This window comes from Homo sapiens, chromosome 11 (genome assembly GCF_000001405.40).
Source record: "Homo sapiens chromosome 11, GRCh38.p14 Primary Assembly".
Lineage (NCBI taxonomy): Eukaryota > Metazoa > Chordata > Mammalia > Primates > Hominidae > Homo > Homo sapiens.
In genome coordinates, this window is record NC_000011.10 from 72747279 (window position 1) to 72766263 (window position 18985).

The 18985-nt window shown below is 53.7% G+C and overlaps 2 protein-coding genes across 2 annotated transcripts in view, besides 5 other annotated features; both read right to left on the bottom strand.

The window, feature by feature from the left end:
- Positions 1-5130, bottom strand: part of ARAP1 (ArfGAP with RhoGAP domain, ankyrin repeat and PH domain 1) — a 67340-nt gene extending 62210 nt beyond the window's left edge. The window contains exon 1 of the mRNA NM_001040118.3: positions 5050-5130. The gene's annotated coding sequence lies outside the window, so the exon portion shown is untranslated. The remainder of the gene's footprint in view (positions 1-5049) is intronic.
- Positions 1992-2151: an enhancer, noted in NCBI's record as "active region_5201". NCBI's record gives its function as "activates an Ori minimal core promoter by ATAC-STARR-seq in GM12878 lymphoblastoid cells {active_cell/tissue: GM12878}" and the evidence as "EXISTENCE:reporter gene assay evidence [ECO:0000049][PMID:35858748]".
- Positions 4811-4930: an enhancer, noted in NCBI's record as "active region_5202". NCBI's record gives its function as "activates an Ori minimal core promoter by ATAC-STARR-seq in GM12878 lymphoblastoid cells {active_cell/tissue: GM12878}" and the evidence as "EXISTENCE:reporter gene assay evidence [ECO:0000049][PMID:35858748]".
- Positions 4981-5270: a silencer, noted in NCBI's record as "silent region_3726". NCBI's record gives its function as "represses an Ori minimal core promoter by ATAC-STARR-seq in GM12878 lymphoblastoid cells {active_cell/tissue: GM12878}" and the evidence as "EXISTENCE:reporter gene assay evidence [ECO:0000049][PMID:35858748]".
- Positions 5541-5770: an enhancer, noted in NCBI's record as "active region_5203". NCBI's record gives its function as "activates an Ori minimal core promoter by ATAC-STARR-seq in GM12878 lymphoblastoid cells {active_cell/tissue: GM12878}" and the evidence as "EXISTENCE:reporter gene assay evidence [ECO:0000049][PMID:35858748]".
- Positions 7451-18985, bottom strand: part of STARD10 (StAR related lipid transfer domain containing 10) — a 39319-nt gene continuing 27784 nt past the window's right edge. The window contains exons 3-7 of the mRNA NM_006645.3: positions 11956-12103; positions 11252-11355; positions 10489-10606; positions 8423-8475; positions 7451-7864 (exon numbers count right to left, since the gene is read on the bottom strand). Of these exons, the coding sequence (NP_006636.2) occupies positions 7619-7864; positions 8423-8475; positions 10489-10606; positions 11252-11355; positions 11956-12103 (669 nt within the window). The 3' untranslated portion in view covers positions 7451-7618. The remainder of the gene's footprint in view (positions 7865-8422; positions 8476-10488; positions 10607-11251; positions 11356-11955; positions 12104-18985) is intronic.
- Positions 15575-15784: an enhancer, noted in NCBI's record as "active region_5204". NCBI's record gives its function as "activates an Ori minimal core promoter by ATAC-STARR-seq in GM12878 lymphoblastoid cells {active_cell/tissue: GM12878}" and the evidence as "EXISTENCE:reporter gene assay evidence [ECO:0000049][PMID:35858748]".

Genomic DNA, 18985 nt, shown 5'->3' on the forward strand with positions numbered 1-18985 from the left:
TCAGGGAGGACTCTCTGATGCCTTAATCTTCCTCTAGGCCCCTCTGACCCTGAGCCCCACACACTGGACCATAGGTGGTCCCTGTCTCTGGGCTCTAGAACCATGTTTCCAGGGTTGTTCAGTTACTGACACCCTGCTGTAGCAAAGCCCCAGCATCCCAACAGGATCAGGTTCCTGGTTTGGTCAGGGAGAAAAGACTTGGACCTTGTAACAAGGCAGTGTGGGCAGGGTCTGAAGGAAGCTCAACACTTCAGGAAGCCCCAACCAGGCCTCAAGCAGAGAGGTAGAATGCAGGCCTCAGAGCGCCCTGCCGGGGTTCCAGGGCCTGCTCTTGCTTTCCTTGGCTGAGAGACTGCAGGCAAGTCACCACCTTCTACTGGCCTTAGTCTCATCAGCAAAATGGGGTCTGGGAGAACCACTGTATGAACAAGAGCCAAGGTGGATAGGACAATAGCAGAAACCAAACCTCCACAAGACGCTTATCCCAGGGCCAGGGCCACGGGGGCTCAGGATTTGACGGCAATTAGTCCCGTCTGCAAGCAGGATACCCCTGTACCCTTGAGGGCACCCCAGATCCACAGTTGGTCACCAGCAATGTCACCTGACCAGGTGGCCCTCTAGTCTCTGCCTATCACTGACTAGGCATTCCCAGGGTAGGACTGGGTTTAGATCTCCTCTGTCTGCAATGCCTCCCAGTGCTTGTGGTTTTCACTGTGAAGCAATGGAAATGTAGATTCCCAGCTATTCTATGTAATGGATGATCTTGGACAAATCACTTAACTTCTTGGGACCTCAGTTTCCTCATGTGGAAAATGGGAATGGTGCCTACCTCAGAAGACTATTTTGAGGATTAAATGAATTCAGTATATAAAGTGCTTAGCACACTGCCTGGCACATAGTCAGCTTCCAAGAAACAATAGCTACTGCTACTATTATTACTACTATTAAATAATGATTTGTTGACTGGGCCCAGTGGCTCACACCTGTAATCCCAGCACTTTGGGAGGCCAAGGCGGGCGGATCACGAGGTCAGGAGTTCAAGATCATCCTGGCCAACATGGTGAAACCCCGTCTCTACTAAAAATACAAAAATTAGCTGGGTATGGTGGCGCGTGCCTGTAATCCCAGCTACTCGGGAGGCTGAGGCAGGAGAATCGCTTGAACCCGGGAGGCGGAGGTTGCAGTGAGCCGAGATCATGCCACCACACTTGAGCCTGGGCTACAGAGCAAGACTCCATCTCAAAAAAAAAAAAAATGATTTGTTATTGAACTGGTCACTTAACTCCACGTCCCCTCCCAGCCACTCTTTGACTGTCCCAGTGGCCTAGGACAGATAACCTAACTATGGGACAGGCTCTTCCCCTCTGTACTACGGCCCAAGGATGAGAAAAAGAGACATTCCACAGGAAGACCATGTGGAACACAATCCATGCATTGCCCCCCACCATCTTTCACATCTGGGGTCATCTGCCTCCAGGTGGGACTGTCCTCCTCAGATCCCTGGTTGGAATGCACATACAGTCTGGGGGCCTGGCCAGGGGTAGGGGAAGGTGGAAAAAATGTTATCTCTGATCAGAGCTGGGGACACTGGGGTTGATTCAGCGGCAGCCTCTGAGTTTTGTGGGGCATGCACATTGGATGGGGATGTCTCCCCACCCACCAAATCCTCATGCTGTTCAGAACCCTGGAGTGGCCACCCTTAGCACAGAACTCCTTTCTAAAACATAACACCTCTCTGCACAGGGCTGTGGAGGGTGCTGACTCTAACCTGCCCAAGACCAGAGAAAGAAATGAGAAGAGCTGCCCGAGGGACTGGACTCTGCTCCAGAGCGGGGACTGGGTCAGCTTAGCTGGGGTCACACACTGTTCAAGGCTGCCTCGGTCACCACCCGGGGAAAGCACCTCACTCAGCCCTGGGAGGTGCTCAAAGAGTAAGATCAAAGTGAAGTCAGACAAAGGAGGCAATGAACACCTGGGTCCTGACCCTGTCTCTCTACCACCCTCCCAATGTATTCTTACACAAGTTACTTAGCCTCTCTGTGCCTCAGTTTCCTTATCTGTAGAATGTCACCTAATTTCTTGGGTTATTGGCAGGGTGGAATTGGTTAATATGGATAAAACTTTACAACAGTGCTATAGGCATGTTTGCTGACCTCATTCTCACTGATGTTATTACTCAGCTTTCTCTAAGGCTGTTACTTCCACTATGATATTGGAGGGTGATGGTCGTCTTATGCTCTTATGCAATTATGTAAATCATTAGATGACAAATGTGCAGTGTCCAGCACACAGCAGGTACTCAACAAAGAATGTTCCCTCTCCCAGCCGGGAGTGGTGGCTCACACCTGTAACCCCAGCAGTTTGGGAGGCTGAGGCGGGCAGATCACGAGGTCAGGAGATTGAGACCATCCTGGCTAACAAGGTGAAACCCCGTCTCTACTAAAAATACAAAAATTAGCCAGGTGTGGTGGCGGGCGCCTGTAGTCCCAGCTACTCAGGAGGCTGAGGCAGGAGAATGGCATGAACCCAGAAGGTGGAGCCAAGATTGTGCCACTGCACTCCAGCCTGGGCAACAGAGCAAGACTCCGTCTCAAAAAAAAAAAAAAAGTTCCCTCTCCCTCTCTCCCCTTTCCCCCAGAGAGGCCAGACTAGGAGACAGAACCTGTCCTGACCCCCACCAGGGGTCTCTGTGTGATCCTACCCTCATCTCTAGCTCTTGGCCTCAGTTTCCCCATCTGTGAAAGAAGCTTTTAGGCCAAATGGTCTCTAAGTGTCCATGGCCATATCTGCTCCAGCCTGTCCCCCACCCTTGTTCCCTCCTTCCTTCCCCATTTCCTACTGCATCCCCTCCTGATGTGACAGAACCCTTGGGAGCCTGAAGCGGGGTAGAGGGGACAGCTGGTGAACAAGAATCACCAGCCCTCAAGGAGCCCAGGGCCCGGTCCAGGCCCCCAAGGGTTAAGACCTAGAGTGAGGGGCGGGGGGCCAGGGTCAGCGCTGGACAGGCGGGCCTGGAGCCCAGGGCCTGCCTCCCCTCCCCCTACCCTGGGAACAGAGGCCACTTGTTTGGGCAGTGGCGGGTGGCTTTGAGCTCAGCCAAGGGAGAGTTGGGTGGGAAGGAGAGAGGGCTCCGGAAAATGGAAGGGACTCCCCACCTCCAGCCGATGCCCTAGGCCTGGTCCACCACTAGCCCCCGATACTCTCAGACACCCCCCCAACCCCTCTAAACTGACCCCTTCCCCTGGGTTCTCTCTTTCTTTCATTCAAACTCTCAATGCTGGAGACAGGACTTAGCAGATAGGCCTATTGCCCCAGCATCTTAGCAGATAGGCCTGACTATTGCCCCAGCACCGTCTCTCTTTGGGGCATGAGGCCAGGGCTGATCACTCCATCCTGCAGATGGGGAAATGGAGGCTCTGAGGAATTTGGGGACTTGTAGAGTCACATAGTGATTGGTGGCTGCACAAGGACTCGGGGCCCCAGGTCCCATGATCCCCATGGCTCTGCAGGCCCCATCCCCACAGAGCTCCAAGGAGACCCTTCCTAAGCTGTGCCATTACACAAGACTGAAGGCTGGGCAGGAAGGAGGGGCAACAGCAGCCCATCTCTGAAACCTGAAGTCCCAAAGGACCTGGGGATTTGAATGGGGAGGAAGCTTCTAGAGGGTTGGGAGGAGGATTAACAATCTGTACAAAAAGCTGAGGCTGGATGTGTGAAGCATGGCTGGAGCCCAGGTGGTGGGGGTATAAAGCTGGGGTTGAGTAGGAGGCTTGAATGCAAAACAAAACCTGGGGGCCATCAGGGCTCTGGTGGCCTCTGCCCCCTCCACCTCATCAGTCACCGGTACTCTGCCTGGGACACCCCCTTCCTAAACTACTCCAATATGCAAGTAGCCAATGGGGAGGCAAGGTCCCCAGGCCCAGTCCTGACAATCCCCAGCCAGGAATGGGACACAGGATGAGTTCTCTCTACACCTCTGCCAGCCACACCCACCTTTCTGCCATTCCTCAGACACACCATCCAAATTCCTGACTTTGCACAAGCTACGCCCTCGCCTTTGGAGGGTCCTTATCCTTGTAAATTGCCACTTAACTGCCAAGCCCATTCCAGTCATCCCCTCCCCTGGGGCCTGCACCTGTCCACACCTGTCTTCAAGGCTCTGCTGGGCTCCTTCTACCCTGTGATGATCTTGCTGGGCAGTCTCTCCCAGCCTGGCCTCTGGGGACTCTCCGCGAACAGGTATCATGAGTGCCTCAGTCTGGGACCCTGGGACCCACCAAAGAGTCAAATCCTTCCGAGTACCCCCAGGTATCTGGCCCTGAAGCACCCCCCTCCCACCTATCTGGGATCAGGGAAGGCTCCCCAGGATATGGGATGTGGGGGAAGGGACGGTATATAGCAGAAACCACAGCGTGATGGCTTCTGGCCAGATTCCCCCCCTCCCCGCCGGCCCTGCACCAAACACCCATCCCCTGCCCCCAGGCTGCACCCTAAGCCTGCTCTCTCCAGGCCCAACCACCCCACTCCCAGCGTGACCCCATTCCCTGAGCACATACTTTCTTTCACCAGCAACTGGGCCAGGTAGGGGCTCTGGGGAAGCCATGCCCCATTTACTGGTGGGGAATTGAGATGCAGAGACCGGAAGTAGCCTGCCCAAGGTCACTGGAGCCCCAGGCCCAGGGCATAGGGTCGTACAGATCTCCAGAAATGTAAAGGTCTCAGCGGCCAACGAGGTGGGAGCCTTCACTTCACAGATGGGAACCCCAAGGCGCCCGAGGGCGGCTGACTCCAGAGACCCTTCACGCCAAAGGGCTACGGGCTGGAAGCCCCGGGTCCCGCTGGTTCACCCCCCTTCCCTACCGTCTCTGGCCCGCTGGCTTATCCTCAAGAGGCGACCCCCCCATCACGCCCAAAAAGGTAAACAGACAAGATGACCCGGGGAAGCAGAAGCAGCGCGCGGCCTCGGCGTTCCTTTCTGCAGAATGGGGAAACTGCAGGCCAATGTGGCGAGGGGCCTGCAGACGGGGAGGCTCCGGCAGCCGCACTGACCTGTTTTGAGTAAAGACTCCACGCGGGGACCAGGCGTACCGGCGCCGCCACCGACTTACACCGCCACCGCCAAATTGCAGCAAGGGGCCGGGCGCGCCCACCCCCCCGGGCGCTTCCGCCCGCCCCACGTGACTCCCGGGGAGGGGAAGGTGGGGCTGGGGCAGGGCAGGGCAGGGCCCCGCCCCCTCATCGGCCCCTCCCCCCGCCTAGTCACGGTCCTGGAGTTGGTTGGCCTGGCCCGCCCGCCGGACCCGTCGGTCTGTGTCTCTCTCCTGCCCCTCTAGCTGCTTGCGGGTCTTCCGACTGTCTCCTGAGGCTCAGGTCTAACCCCCGCCACCTCGCCCGCTGAGTCCACCTCTCCCTGAGTCTCCCTGCTCTCGCCACCCCTCTTCTGGTGAGTCTGCCCTGACATACACCCCACCCACAAGAGGGCCACACCCCCAGGGGGATAGGAGGCAGTTGAAGGCCGTCAGTGGTGCCTGACCACCTCCTCTAGGAAATCCTTCCTCCACCACATTCTTCAAGGGTATCTCACTTCCCTCCCTGGGTGCCCACAGGCAGGGTTGTGGGGAAGCTACCCACCCAGCCACACCTCCCAAGGATCCCTCAGCGGAAGGCTGCAGCCTGAGGTTCCAGCACCCACACCTAGAGAACAGGAGATTCCCACCCATCCTCCCAGCACATACACAGATGAGGGTACCAAGCTTGGCAGACATTTCTGGGTCCTGTGTCCAGAACACCTCCGGGGCCAGCCACGCCAGAGACCTTCCCTGGGCTTCAATTTCTTTATATGCACAAAGGGTATATTTGGAAGAACAGATCTCACATTGCGGGGGATGAGGGTTTACCCCCTGAGAAGAGGAAAGTGTCATTAATTGGAGCACCTACTGCATGCTAGTCCCAGTGCTGGGCAATTTATTCCTTTTATCTCAATCCTTACATTCTGCTTGATGGCAAAAATTATCATCCCAGGTTATGGGTTAGGAAATAAGGCTCCAAGAAGTCTGAGGGCTTGCCCAAAGTTACAAAGCCAGTGTTGGGCAAAGCTGGGAAGCAACCCATTTTTATGAGTTCTAGAATCTCCTGCCTGCCCCCCACTGGCCATTCACCCTGTCCCTCTGGGAAAGAGTTGACTGAGTAGACCGTGTCTTCTGGTGGTAGGGCTAAGGCAAAGGAGCTTTCCGGGAGGGGAGAACAGGGCCAGACCTTGCGGAGAACTTCCGGGCCCCAAGTTCATATGGGGTCAAAAACACTGCAGAGGAGCAGAGCATAGGCCCCTCCTCTGGTCCTGGCAGCAGGGGTGTCCCTTGGGCAGCAGAGGGCACCTGGGGGCCACAGATCACAGGGGAGGCCCAGGCGTCCCTCTAGACTTCAGACCAGCGAGGTGCAGCACAGGGTGAGAAGGCTGGCATCTGACCACTGGCAAGGGGATAGGGGGTCTGGGGACCCTACCATTTCTGTTAACACAGTCCTGAGGTCTTCAAAATGACCTAGGGAGGGCGTGAATCACCAAGCCTGGTCCCCACCAACTGCACTGGAATCTGAGGCCCCTCACCTGCACCCTTGACCTCCCTCCAGGGTATGCTGCCCCAGCCTCAGCTCTGAGACCCACAGCCCTGTGGCTTGAGACCCACGGACCCCTCCACCTCCCTTCTGGGATGACAGGAGTGTCAGACCCCAGTCCATAGGTTGGACCCAAAGGGCCTTGGGCCGAAGGACACAGAGTAGAACCTCACCCTCTGACTCCTGACCCAGGGTCTCTGTCAAGGCCTGCTCCTTCCCTTAGAGCAGAGGTCCCCAACCCCTGGGCCACAGACTGGTACTGGTCCTGTCAGGAACCTGTTAGGAACCAGGCTGCACAGCAGGAAGTGAGCAGAGGCTGAGCTAGCATTACCGCCTCCTGTCAGATCTGCAGCAGCATTGGATTCTCATAGGAGGGAGAACCCTATTGTGAACTGCGCATGCGAGGGATCTAGGTTGTGCGCTCCTTATCAAAATCTAATGATAAATGTGATGCACTTGAATCATCCCAAAACCAATCCTTCCCCAATCCTGATCCATGGAAAATTTGTCTTGCACAAAACCAGTCCCTGGTGCCAAAAAGGTTGGGGACCGCTGCCTTAAAGCAGTGAAAAAGAAAGCAAATAGCCTGGCGTGAATGCCAAAATGACCGCTCAACAAGGACAGCTGGATAGATACGGGCAGAGAATGGAACAGAGTATGGACAGAAGGGGGGCAGTGATAAACCCCGTCTCCTCCCCGCTACACAATGGGAAATGAGGAGATGCTGGAAGGATCAACGGCCGGATGATCAACAACCTTAACAAAATTAAGGGCAGACGCAGGGGACCGCGGCAGCGGCCATGAGGCAGGTGGGAAGCAGGCACAGTGATGAGCCGGCTGAGGCTGTGGGATCGTTTATTGGGGCTCTGTCCAGCCAGGCTGCAGCACCCGCCTGGGCCTGGCCCGGTGCCACCAGGTGCCGGGTGGGGGAGGGGAGAAAGTGCAGGAGCGGCCGCCGCCCCAGGGCTCGCCCGGTCCTGTCTCCGTCCCTGAAGCGGTGCGGCGCTCAGGTGAGCGAGGTGTCGTCGTCGCTGCCCTCGCCGCCCGCGCCGCCCATCCGCTCCTCTCTGCTCTCGGCCACCGCGCTCTCGTCGATGTTCTCCAGTGAGTCCGCATGCTGCACCGACAGCTCCGACAGCGCCAGGCTCGGCAACGGGCTCTGCTCCGGGTGCAGCCACGGCTTGAAGTGAGGCAGGTGCTTCTGTTTCCACTCGGGGTACTTGAGGCACGCCTTGTACATCTTCTTCATGGCCTGTGGGCCCGCCGCCCCGCCGGGTCAGGGGGTGGCTAGGGGGCAGGTCTTCTCCACACCCCCCTCCAGCGGCTCAGCCCCCAGCATCCTGACTGGCTCCCTTTCAAAACTTCACTCCTCAGCCCTACTTGCCCTCCCTGGGCCCTAGGCTCCATTCTCCATTCTTTTTTTTTTTTTTTTTTTTTTGAGACGGAATCTCACTGTGTGGCCCAGGCTGGAGTGCAGTGGCATGATATCGGCTCACTGCAACCTCTGCCTTCCAGGTTCAAGTGATTCTCCTGCCTTAGCCTCCCGAGTAGCTGGGATTACAGGCACCCACCATCACACTCAGCTAATTTTTGTATTTTTAGTAGAGACAGGGTTTCACCATGTTGGCCAGGCTGGTCTTGAACTCCCGACCTCAGGTAATCCACCTGCCAAGGCCTCCCAAAGTGCTGGGATTACAGGCATGAGCCACCACGCCTGGCCCTCAGGCTCCAGGCTTGACTCCACCCACCTCATTCCATAGTCCTCTTTCCAGTCTTCAACACCCCTCCCCAAAATCCCAAGGCCACTCACCTTGGGAGCCAGGAACTGAGAAGATTTATTCACCACCCACTTGGGTAAGGAGCCTGTGAGGGCAGGGAAGGGAGGAAGCAGCCTCAGGGACCCAGCCCCTCCGCCCCTGACAAAAGCCCCACCCTCTGCCCAGAGCTTCCAGGGAGGCCACTGTCTTCCCCATGAGGAGGAGGTGTGTGAGGCAAGTCCTACAAGCCTTTACCCTCACTCCCTTCCACCTCAGACCGAAGTCCTCAGGCTTAGCTCTGTCCCCCACTTTCCCTCTGCCCAGCCTCAAAGATTACGTGGAAGAAAACCACAGGGTCCTAGGTAAGCACAGGCTATACATGGGTGGAAACTCTGACCCACCCTGCTGCACCTGCTGCCTCACTCAATCACACTGACATCCCTTCTCAACCTAACCTCCCTCCCAGGAATGCCCCTGACGCTCAGCCCCTCCCCTGCCTGTCCTTCCAAGTCCTCCCCTGACCACACAGGCCTCTGGCTGAGCACCCCAGCCTGGCCTGACCTGGAATCCACTGCCCAGCTCTCCACCCTATCTCATTCCCAAGTGTCCACTCCACCTCTGACACCCAACACAATGAGGTGCCGGGGGAGTGCTAGGCCTGGACCACTGTGCGCTCTGGGGCTTGAAGCATTTCCAGGCAAGGATGCTCAAGGCTTCCCCATCCTCTAGTCATTCACTCACTCACTCACTCACTCACTCCATGTTCACTGTGACACCCACCCTGGGCCAGCCCTGGGGACCCAGAGAGGAACTCACTGGGGGCCCAACAGGAGCCGACTGTTCTACTAGAGGGGAATGGACTACAGAACAGGGAGCCAGTGACTCCCCTGAGTGTCAGGGATCAGGAGGTGACACCCACAGCACCCCTGGAGGGGCGAGGAGGGGAGGCTTCGGGGAAGGGCTGCCTGGGCACAGAAGTGGGGATGGGTGAGGTGTGAGAGACACCAGGAGACCTGGGACAGGGCTTAGGCTTTTCTTGGAGGGCAATGGAGAGCCACAGAGTAACTTCAAGCAGATGAGAGTCATGAGGAGATAAGTGTTTTAGAGAAATTCCTCTGGCCGCTGTTATACACAGACAAGGTAGTTGGTATGGAGAGAAATGCCAGACTCAGGAACTGCCGAGGAGGAGGCAGAATCAATAAGAATCAGTGACGGGGGCTAAGCGCGGTGGCTCACGCCTGTAATCCCAGCACTTTGGGAGGCCAAGGTGGGTGGATCACAAGGTCAGGAGTTCGAGACCAGGCTGGCCAACATGGTGAAACCCCATCTCTACTAAAAATACAAAAAGTTAGCTGGGGGTGGTGACAGATGCCTGTAATCCCAGTTACTCGGGAGGCTGGGGCAGGAGAATCATTTGAACCCGGGAGGCAGAGGTTGCAGTGAGCCGAGATTGCACCATTGCACTCCAGCCTGGGAAACAAGAGTGAAACTCTGTCTCAAAAAAAAAAAAAAAAAAAAAATCAATGGCTGGATTTGGCTGAGGAAGAGGGAGTGACCCCAAATGATGGCAGGTTCTGGGCATGGGTGACTGAAAAGTGGAGACTTAGGGCAAGGGGCAAGTTAGGAGGAAAGATGGCGAGTTCCCCACTGGACACAACGAGGCTTAGGTGCCTGGAAGACATCCGAAGGGAGATGTCCAGGTGGCCGATGGCCACAGGAATCTGAATCTCAGCTGAGAGAGACATGGCCACTTGTGACAGAAGCCACAGGGGTGGCTGAGCCATCCCCAGGGAGAGAAGACTAAGGCCTAGAAAACCCAGGCATCCAGGACAGGCAGAGGGAACAGCCAGTGAGCAGGGAACAAGGCAGAGCATGGGGACGGCAGAGCCCAGGAAAAGTGCTCCCAGCTTCATCAGTGGGGCAGTGGCACCTCCCTGGCCCACTCTTTTCAAACCACTGTAAAGTCCCAAGCCTTGGTTCAAGGAAGGCTTTGGATGGAAATGCCCCAAAATGCAAAACAGCTCCTAACAGATGCCCTTCTGGATCCCTAGTAGATCAGGCCCCACCCCTGTGGTATAGGGAAGGATCCCATGATAGGCTGCCAGGGCCAAGCCCTCACCTTTGGGGTCCACCTGGGCCAGGTAGGTGATGACGCAGCTCTTGGGCCCTGTGCTCTGGATGAGGTAGCCCGTCTGGATGGACACAGCTCGGACCAAGTCTTTCCGAGGTGGGTATTTCTGGGGATGGAAGGCACAGGGAGGTGAGACTCGGGGTGGGGGCAAAGAAGATGTTTTTGTGAGTATACACAAACGCGCACGCGCACACACACATACAGTTAATTCACATGCCGTGACATCTGTTACAGATCAGTCCTGATTCTGGGTGCAGAGAAAGGGAAGAACCAGAGTAGGTCATCCTAGCCCCTCTTGAAGCTTTTCCTGTTCCCCTCAGAAAAGCCCCCAGTCTGGGGTCAGGGCTCATGAGCACATATGGGCACTCACAGACACACACACTCACCCTTGCCCAGGCCAGCTATACCTGCCTGTCCTTGCCCAGGGAGATCAAGGTGGCTTAGCCTCAGGGAGGACCAGAGGACCCTGCCTCTCACCTCTTGTTCCTCATTTCCCTGTCCCAGAGCCCAACCAATCGAAGTCAGCCCATCCCACCCACTTGCCACAGAGGTGGCCACACTGCCCTCTCCTGATCTGCTCAAGAGACCCAGCAGGGAGAGAGGAGCCATTATCCTCACTGTACAGGAAGGAAACTGAGGGCCAGTGGGCCCATGCCTGCCCGAAGTCATATTGAAGTCATGGTGGCAGCCTCAGCCTTGCGCTGCCTGACCCTCTCCCCTGCTCCACCGCAGGGAAGGCAGGTTGACTCACGGGATGTTTGACTGAGTAGTTCATAATGATGTAATCAGCGCCCATGGGGAGCCAGGAGCGGAGGGTGATGACATCACGGTTCTTCAGGGGCTTGGGACACCTCCCTGTGGGGGGCAAGGGACAGTTCAGCCAGACCACTGGTCCACCTGCCTACAAGGGAGGGTGTGGCAGAGGCCAGAGATGCAGGGATGCCTAATTAACTGCCAGCTCTCCAGTGCAAAGATACACCTCCCTCCCAGACCACAGTCCCACAGCTGGAGCCAGAAAAGAGACAGGGCAAGACCTGTCCCTACTGTCTCCAGCCAGCCCTGCTCCTTACAGCCTCACATAGCCCTTACATTGTTGGCCTGGCTGGTTTGTCTACGTGAACGTGAGTGTACAAGAGAAAAACAGTATGAGTGTGCATGAAAATGTGTGCCTGGGACTATGTGGCATGTGGGTGGGGGCTGTGTGCCTGATTGAGTGTATGCCTATGTGTGTATGTATATACGTGAACATGTGAGTGCATATGTATTTGTAAGTGTATGGGTGTGTGCCTAAGGGTCTAGGAGTGGACAGGGAGGGCAGCTCTATCTCTCAGCACTCAAGTCTCCGAGCAGCTTGGTCATGTGAGTAACCACAGGAGGGAGGGGGGAAGAGGAGGCTTGGTGGGAGGCCTGGATGGAGGCCAAGGGGACTGGGATCAGCGTGCTACGCCTGCTCACAGGAGTAATAGCCCACGTCAGCGTTGACTGTCAAGCGGGCGATGTCAAAAGTCTCAATGACGTTGCTGTCCCATTTCTTGCGGTACTCAATGTCGTGTAGGACGTCGTAGAGTGTCTCGGCTGGCACATCACAGCACTCCATCCGGCACTGCAGACAAGATATATGGGTTGTCAGGATCATATGGGGCTCAGAGCCTTGGCCAGGGGACCAGAAGGCAGACAGGCAGAGGGGGAGGAAGAGAAAGAGGACAGCAAAGAACAGGGGCCTCTGAAACCAGCATGGACTTCCTTCTTGCCACAAGCCCTGTCCAGCTCCCCAAAAAGCCACCTGTGCCAGGAGACAGACAGCCTCTGTATCCAGAGACCATCTCCCCCGACTCAGCCCAGTCTCCTCCTCCAGGAAGCCTTCCCAGCCAGACCTTCTGGGCTCCCACACAATGCATCTCTATGTCTGTGCCCTCCCAGACCCCTGTGAGCTCCTCGTGGGCAGAGGCTCATGGTTGCTTCAGCCTGGAGCCTGGAATAGCTACATGTTAAATGAAATGAAAGCATAAATGAAAGTCGAATGCCAAAGTGGATGATTTATTTCCTCCCTGGTACTTATCACGCGGCCATACCACCTGTCCTCTTATTTGTGGTTTGTTTGTTTGTTTTTCCTTCAACAAACATCTTTGGATTTTTTTTTTCTTTTTTTGAGATGGAGTTTCGCTCTTGTCACCCAGGCTGGAGTGCAGTGGCGCGATCTTGGCTCACTGCAACCTCTGCCTCCCGGGTTCAAGTGATTCTCCTACCTCAGCCTCCAGAATAGCTGGGATTACAGGCACGTGCCCAGCTAATTTTTGTATTTTTAGTAGAGATGGGGTTTCACCATGTTGACCAGAATGGTCTCAATCTCTTGACCTTGTGATCCACCCACCTCGGCCTCCCAAAGTGCTGGGATTACAGGTGTCAGCCACCACACCCGGCCTGGATTTCTTTCTTTTTTTCATTCATTCATTCATTCATTTATTGAGACGGAGTTTTGCTCTTGTTGCCCAGGCTGGAGTACAGTGGCGTGATCTCGGCTCACTGCAAGCTCTGCCTTCCGGTTTCAAAGGATTCTCCTGCCTCAGCCTCCTGAGTAGATGGGATTACAGGCACCTGCCACCACTCCCGGCTAATTTTTTGTATTTTTAGTAGAGACGGGGTTTCACCATGTTGGCCAGGCTGGTCTCTAACTCCTGACCTTGTGATCCACCTGCCTCTGCCTCCAAAAGTGCTGGGATTACAGGCATAAGCCGCCGCGCCCAGCCTGGATTTCTTACTGTGTATTAGCCTTGCCCTCAAAGAGCTTTCCATCTGGGTAGAAGACGGCCAAGGACACCTTGTTTTATTTAACCCCCTCACCAACAACTCTGTCAGATAAGAAATCCAAGGAGGAACTTGAGGCTCAAAGAGGTTAAGTAACTCGCCCAATGTCACTCAGCTGGTAAGTAGCAGAGCCAGGATTTAACCCAGATCACATGTCTGGAAAGCAAGTAAAATCAGAACGAGGTTTCCCTAGGTTTGCACTCAGTGAGATGAAACTCAATATCCTTGTTCTGTGATTTTTTTTTTTTTTTACCCAAGTGCCCTATCCCCAAGATCAAGTTCCTCTCAGCAAATGGACAAGTTTTCTTGTGTAGTTTAAAAAGATCTCCCAGAACTGGCATTTAGACAGTGCCAAGGGAACCCTCACATAATACTTTTCCACTCACAAGAGGAGATAAGCAACCATATGAGGGAGAGGTCACACTGTCTTCCCCCTCATCCCAGAATAGGCCTTGGCCCCACTAATGGTGGTGGGATGCCGCAGGAAGGACACACCGACACCTGCTAGCTATTCTAGGCACCAAGAAACCCATCACGCCTTGGATATAACTTCAGTTTACAGAAAATACAGAGGACAGAGGAATGAGCTAAGTGACACCACATGAGAATGCAACCAGACAGAGCCAGACAGTGAATCATTCCACGGGACTCCTGGCCCAGGCTCTTCTACTGGTCAACGTAAACAAAGGGGCTGGGTGGGACTGACTGGCAGGACATAACAACCACATGTAAAGTGTGTCTCTGCATTGCAAACTGATTTGGACACACCATCTATAAAGGGGATTTTTGGGACAACTGGAGAAAAGTGAACATGATCAGAGTATCAAATGCACTGAAAATTTACAGAAACAAAATGGTGGAAACTGCTGCCTAAAAAAAGGTTACAAAATAGGTTGGGCGCGGTGGCTCATACCTGTCATCCCAGCACTTTTGGAGGCTGAGACGGGCAGATCACTTGGGGTCAGGAGTTCGAGACCAGCCTGGCCAACCATCTCTACCAAAAATACAAAAATTATCTGGGCGTAGTGGCACATAACTGTAATCCCAGCTACTCAGGAAGCTGAGGCAGGAGAATCGCCTGAATCTGGGAGGTGGAGGTTTCCGTGAGCCGAGATCATGCTGTGTGCTCCAGCCTGGGTGACAGAGCAAGACTCCATCTTAAAAAACAAACAAAAAAAAAGCAGCATAACCTCAATTGGGGGAAAAAAAATATACGCATAGAGGAAGCTCAGGAAGCACAATTGCTAAGGTGTTAACAGTGGAGATCTCTAAATGATAGATAGGAATGTGATGGTTTCATTTTGCTTGTCTGTATTTCTTTTTCTTTTCTTTTCTTTTTTTTTTTTTTTTTTTTTTTTTGAGATGGAGTTTCGCTTTTGTTGCCTAGGCTGGAGTGCAATGACACGATCTTGGCTCACCGCAACCTACGCCTCCCGGGTTCAAGTGATTCTTCTGCCTCAGCCTCCTGAGTAGCTGGGATTATAGGCACCCACCATCATGCCTGGCTAATTTTTGTATTTTTAATAGAGACGGGGTTTCACCATGTTGGCCAGGCTGGTCTCAAACTCCTGACCTCAGGTGATCCTCCCGCCTCGGCCTCCCAAAGTGCTTGGATTACAGGTGTGAGCCACTGTGCCCGGCCACTTGTCTATATTTCTTATTATCTAACATGTATAGTACTAATTCTGAAATAATGAAAACAATTTGGAAAGGTCCCCCAGCAATACTGACAGGTGCACCCACCATGTGCCAGGTATTACACTAAGTGCTTTATACACATTATTTTATTCTTACAGCAGCGCTCTGGGATATTGGCCCCATTATAGGATTAAGAAAAACAAGGTTCAAGGACAGACTCGAGACTGCAATATTGTTTGTGTCACCCTAAACAATTCACCCTCCCTTTCTACCCCATTTACCTTTCTGCTCTATAATGGGGCATAACTAGATCCAACCATTTAATCAGCAGCCCCCAGCTCCAGCCCTGTACTGAGCCCAGAAGAGTCAGAGATGAATTCGAGGCCTGTCTTTGAGAGGTCTGCAGTGAAAGGAGGAGCCCACCTTGGAAATGGGGAGATGTCCTAAAGTGCTCATTGGGGGCATAAGAAGGAAATCAGCTCCATGGGCTGGGTCGGGGGATCAGGCTTCATGGAGAATCTCAGTGCAGGAGGTAGGGGTTTGCCAAGTGCCCCTGGCAGAAAGAACAGCCAGCCAAGGTGCAGAGGCAGGCAAGAGTGTGGCCTGTGGGCAGTGAATGAGTTCCATCTGGCTCAGTCTCCGTGGTGTGGTATAGCCTGCTACTCAAAAGGTCCCTGGTTCTAGGTCTTCTTGGAAAAATGGGTGATTCCAGGGCTGGGTCAGAGAAAGTATAAGATGAGCATGGAACATCTTCTTGTGCCAGGAAGTAAGCAAATACTCAAAGAATGATAGAGATTTTGGACACCGGAACCAGCTTGAAGGGCTCTTCCCCTGGCACAGTGGCCAACTCTTCAAGGTTTACCGAGGACTTCCCCAGTTTTACCACTGCAAGTCTCACATCCTGGGAAATCCCCCAGTCCCAGGCAAGCTAGGACAGTTGATCACTCTACCATGGGCTCAATCTGAGATAAGCTGCATATTAAACTCAATAATGACCATAACTGTAGATATTCCATCGAATAAAATAGGAAACCAAAGTCTATACAGGTATGAATAAACAAGTAAATGGAATGTTTGATGAGGAATGGGGGATTTACATAGTTTTAAAGTAACTTCCCATCAAAATACTTATTAATTACAAAGGGAAAATTAGTCACTTCATAGTAGAGAAGCCTGGCAAATAGCACCTTAATCAAGTGATCAAAGGGAATCTCATTAATCACAGGACAAGTTGCTGTCAGGTGTTGCCTGGTAGGACACAGTGAGAGGAATACAGGTATCACTTCTGTGCTACCTCTGCCACAGAGACATAACATAAATAGAATCACAAGGGAACCTCAGACAAACCCAGAATGAGGGCTTGTCTCATTTTATAAAATAATTGGCCTATAAGTGTCAGGATCATGACAGTCACAGAGAGAACTACATTAGACTGAGGAGACTAATGAGATGTGAGTGACTGAGTGAATGAATGAAGGAACAAAGTGAAGGGAGGAACGCGATGGTGAGAAAGGGGGTTGAAGAAGACAGAGGCCGGATCTGGCATCATCGTTAGCATCCAAACAGCCTCCTAAGCGGCCACAGGGAGGTCCAGGCACTGCCCCAAATGTTCAACACGCACTCATTCTTCACCCTAAACCTAGCTGGTGGTCGCTGTTATTATTCCTGCACTGAAAAATAGAAAACTGAAGCTTGGGGGATTCAGCAACTTGCCCAGATCATAGGGCCTGAAAGCAGCAGAGCAGGGACTCAAAATCGGATCTCCCTGTGTTCTTAACCATCAAAGAGCACTCAAGCGTGGCTTCTGAGGAAACCAGAATTTCTCTAAATCCAAATTTGGATGCTAGTTGGCTCTGCAAATCTTCAAACATGTTATCCTGGACCATGAGTGGATGGAGGGGCAGTGACAACAAAACCCTGCTTCCCAGGTTAGAATCCAACCTGGGACTGCCTCTTCCCTAGCCAGGCTCAGTGCTCCCAGGGCCCAGCTGCAAAGCAGCTGAATGCACACTGGGAAGGGGCCCATGCTGCCCCATCCTCCTTCCAGAGGCTCCCAGAGCAGGGCTGTTGAGGCTCCAGAGGCCAAAGACCCACCTCTGGGACAGAGGACAGTGGCCGGAGCATGCAGAGCCACGAGACAGACCAGTTGCTCAGCGTAAACTCTGAGTAGCACTTTATCTCATAAAGAGAAACTTCAAAGGTTTCCCAGGCTAGTGGCAGACTCTTGTGGAGGAAGGCCTCTGCCCAGAGAGTAAGAACCTTTGCTGTGGCAGCGCAGGTGAAGAAACTGAGGCAGGCCGGGTCGTGGGGGTCAGGTAAGTGTCCACAGGCCTCCCTAGCCTGGCCTGGCTCGTGCCCTTTCCATAGCCCCCAGCAGGCAGCACTGCTGCGCTAAGCAGAAGAAATTACACCCATCTTTGTTCCTGCGGGCGGCGGTGGCCACGCCCCAAAGGTGTAATTCTAAGAGGCTTGGGGAGGGACAGGTGGCGGGGTAGGGCTGAGTCTCTGGAGAGCACCAGGTGGGCGGGCCGGTACCAGGAACCCCCAGCTATTAGGCCCTGGCTGAGTGAGTGTCCACACCAGATGTTGCCGTCAGGTGTTGCCTGGTAGGCCATCTTGGCTGCCCCCGGAGAAACTCCCCCTGGAAACAGGAACCCAAGGGGTGTTGCTCCACCAAGGAGCCATGCTGGGCTTGAGTACGTTTAAAGCCTGGTGACAGCAGGGACCCCGACATGCAGTGGTATTACATTTGAGAAAACAGGCCAGCCAGGTGCGGTGGCTCACTCCTGTAATCCTAGCACTTCGGGAGGCCGAGGCGGGCAGATCACCTGAGGTTGGGAGTTCAAGACCAGCCTGACTAACATGAAGAAACCCCATCTCTACTAAAAATACAAAATTAGCCGGGGTGGTGGCACATGCCTGTAATCCCAGCTACTCAGGAGGCTGAGGCAGGAGAATCGCTTGAACCCGAGAGGCGGAGGTTGCAGTGAACCAAGATTGTGCCATTGCACTCCAGCCCAGGCAACAACAGCAAAACTCTGTCTCAAAAACAAAAAGAAAAGAAAAAGAAAACTGAGGCCAGGGGGAGCAAGTGACACCAGAGAAACTACAGGCTGTGTCCCAGGCACTCCACTCTCCAAACCCCCTCAAGTTCTCAAGGTGAAAAACCGGGATTCCCGAGAACCCCTGGGACCAGCACTGCACTCCACAGCTCCCCAATTCCCATGAAGCCACAATCAGAAGGGACTGAACAAGCAAGGCGCAGGAAAGACCCACACAGGCTTTGAGGCTGGCAATCCCAGGCTCAATCCCAGCTCTGTCTCCTGGGCACAAGAGTTAATGCTTAGGAGTCTTCATTTCCTCATGTGAAAAATGGAAATAATAATAGCAGCTATCTCATGGGGATGTTGTGATTAAATGAGATAACGCATGTAATATGCCTAGCGCGTAGTAAATACTCAAAAATAGGCCGGGCACAGTGGCTCTCACCTGTAATCCCAGCACTTCGGGAGGCCGAGGCGGGTGGATCATTTGAGGTCAGGAGTTCGAGACCAGCCTGACCAACATGGTGAAAACCTGTCTCTACTAAAAATACAAAAAAAAAAAAAAATTAGCTGGGTGTCGTGGCGCACACCTGTAATCCCAGCTACTCGGAAGGCTGAGACACAAGAATCACTTAAACCCAGAAGGAGGAGGTTGCAGTGAGCTGAGATCATACCACTGCACTCCAGCCTGGGTGACAGAGTGAGACTAACTCAAAACAGAAAAAAAGAGTAGCTATTGGCTGGTCCAAATGTAGTGAGTGATCTCAATTGATTATTCACAGTAAGTTACAGATCGAACTCCTTGTTCTACTGTTTTCCCCCTTCTCACTACTGCATTTGACTAGTCTTTAAAAAAAAAAATAGTAGCTATTATTACTCCAGTGGGTTTCCGTGAGTAGCCATGCACCCTTCCACGTGGCCAGGACTAGGCTGCATTTGCAGATACTATGTACCCTGGGTGCCTCCCACATCTCACCCTGCCCTGCCCTTCCATTCAT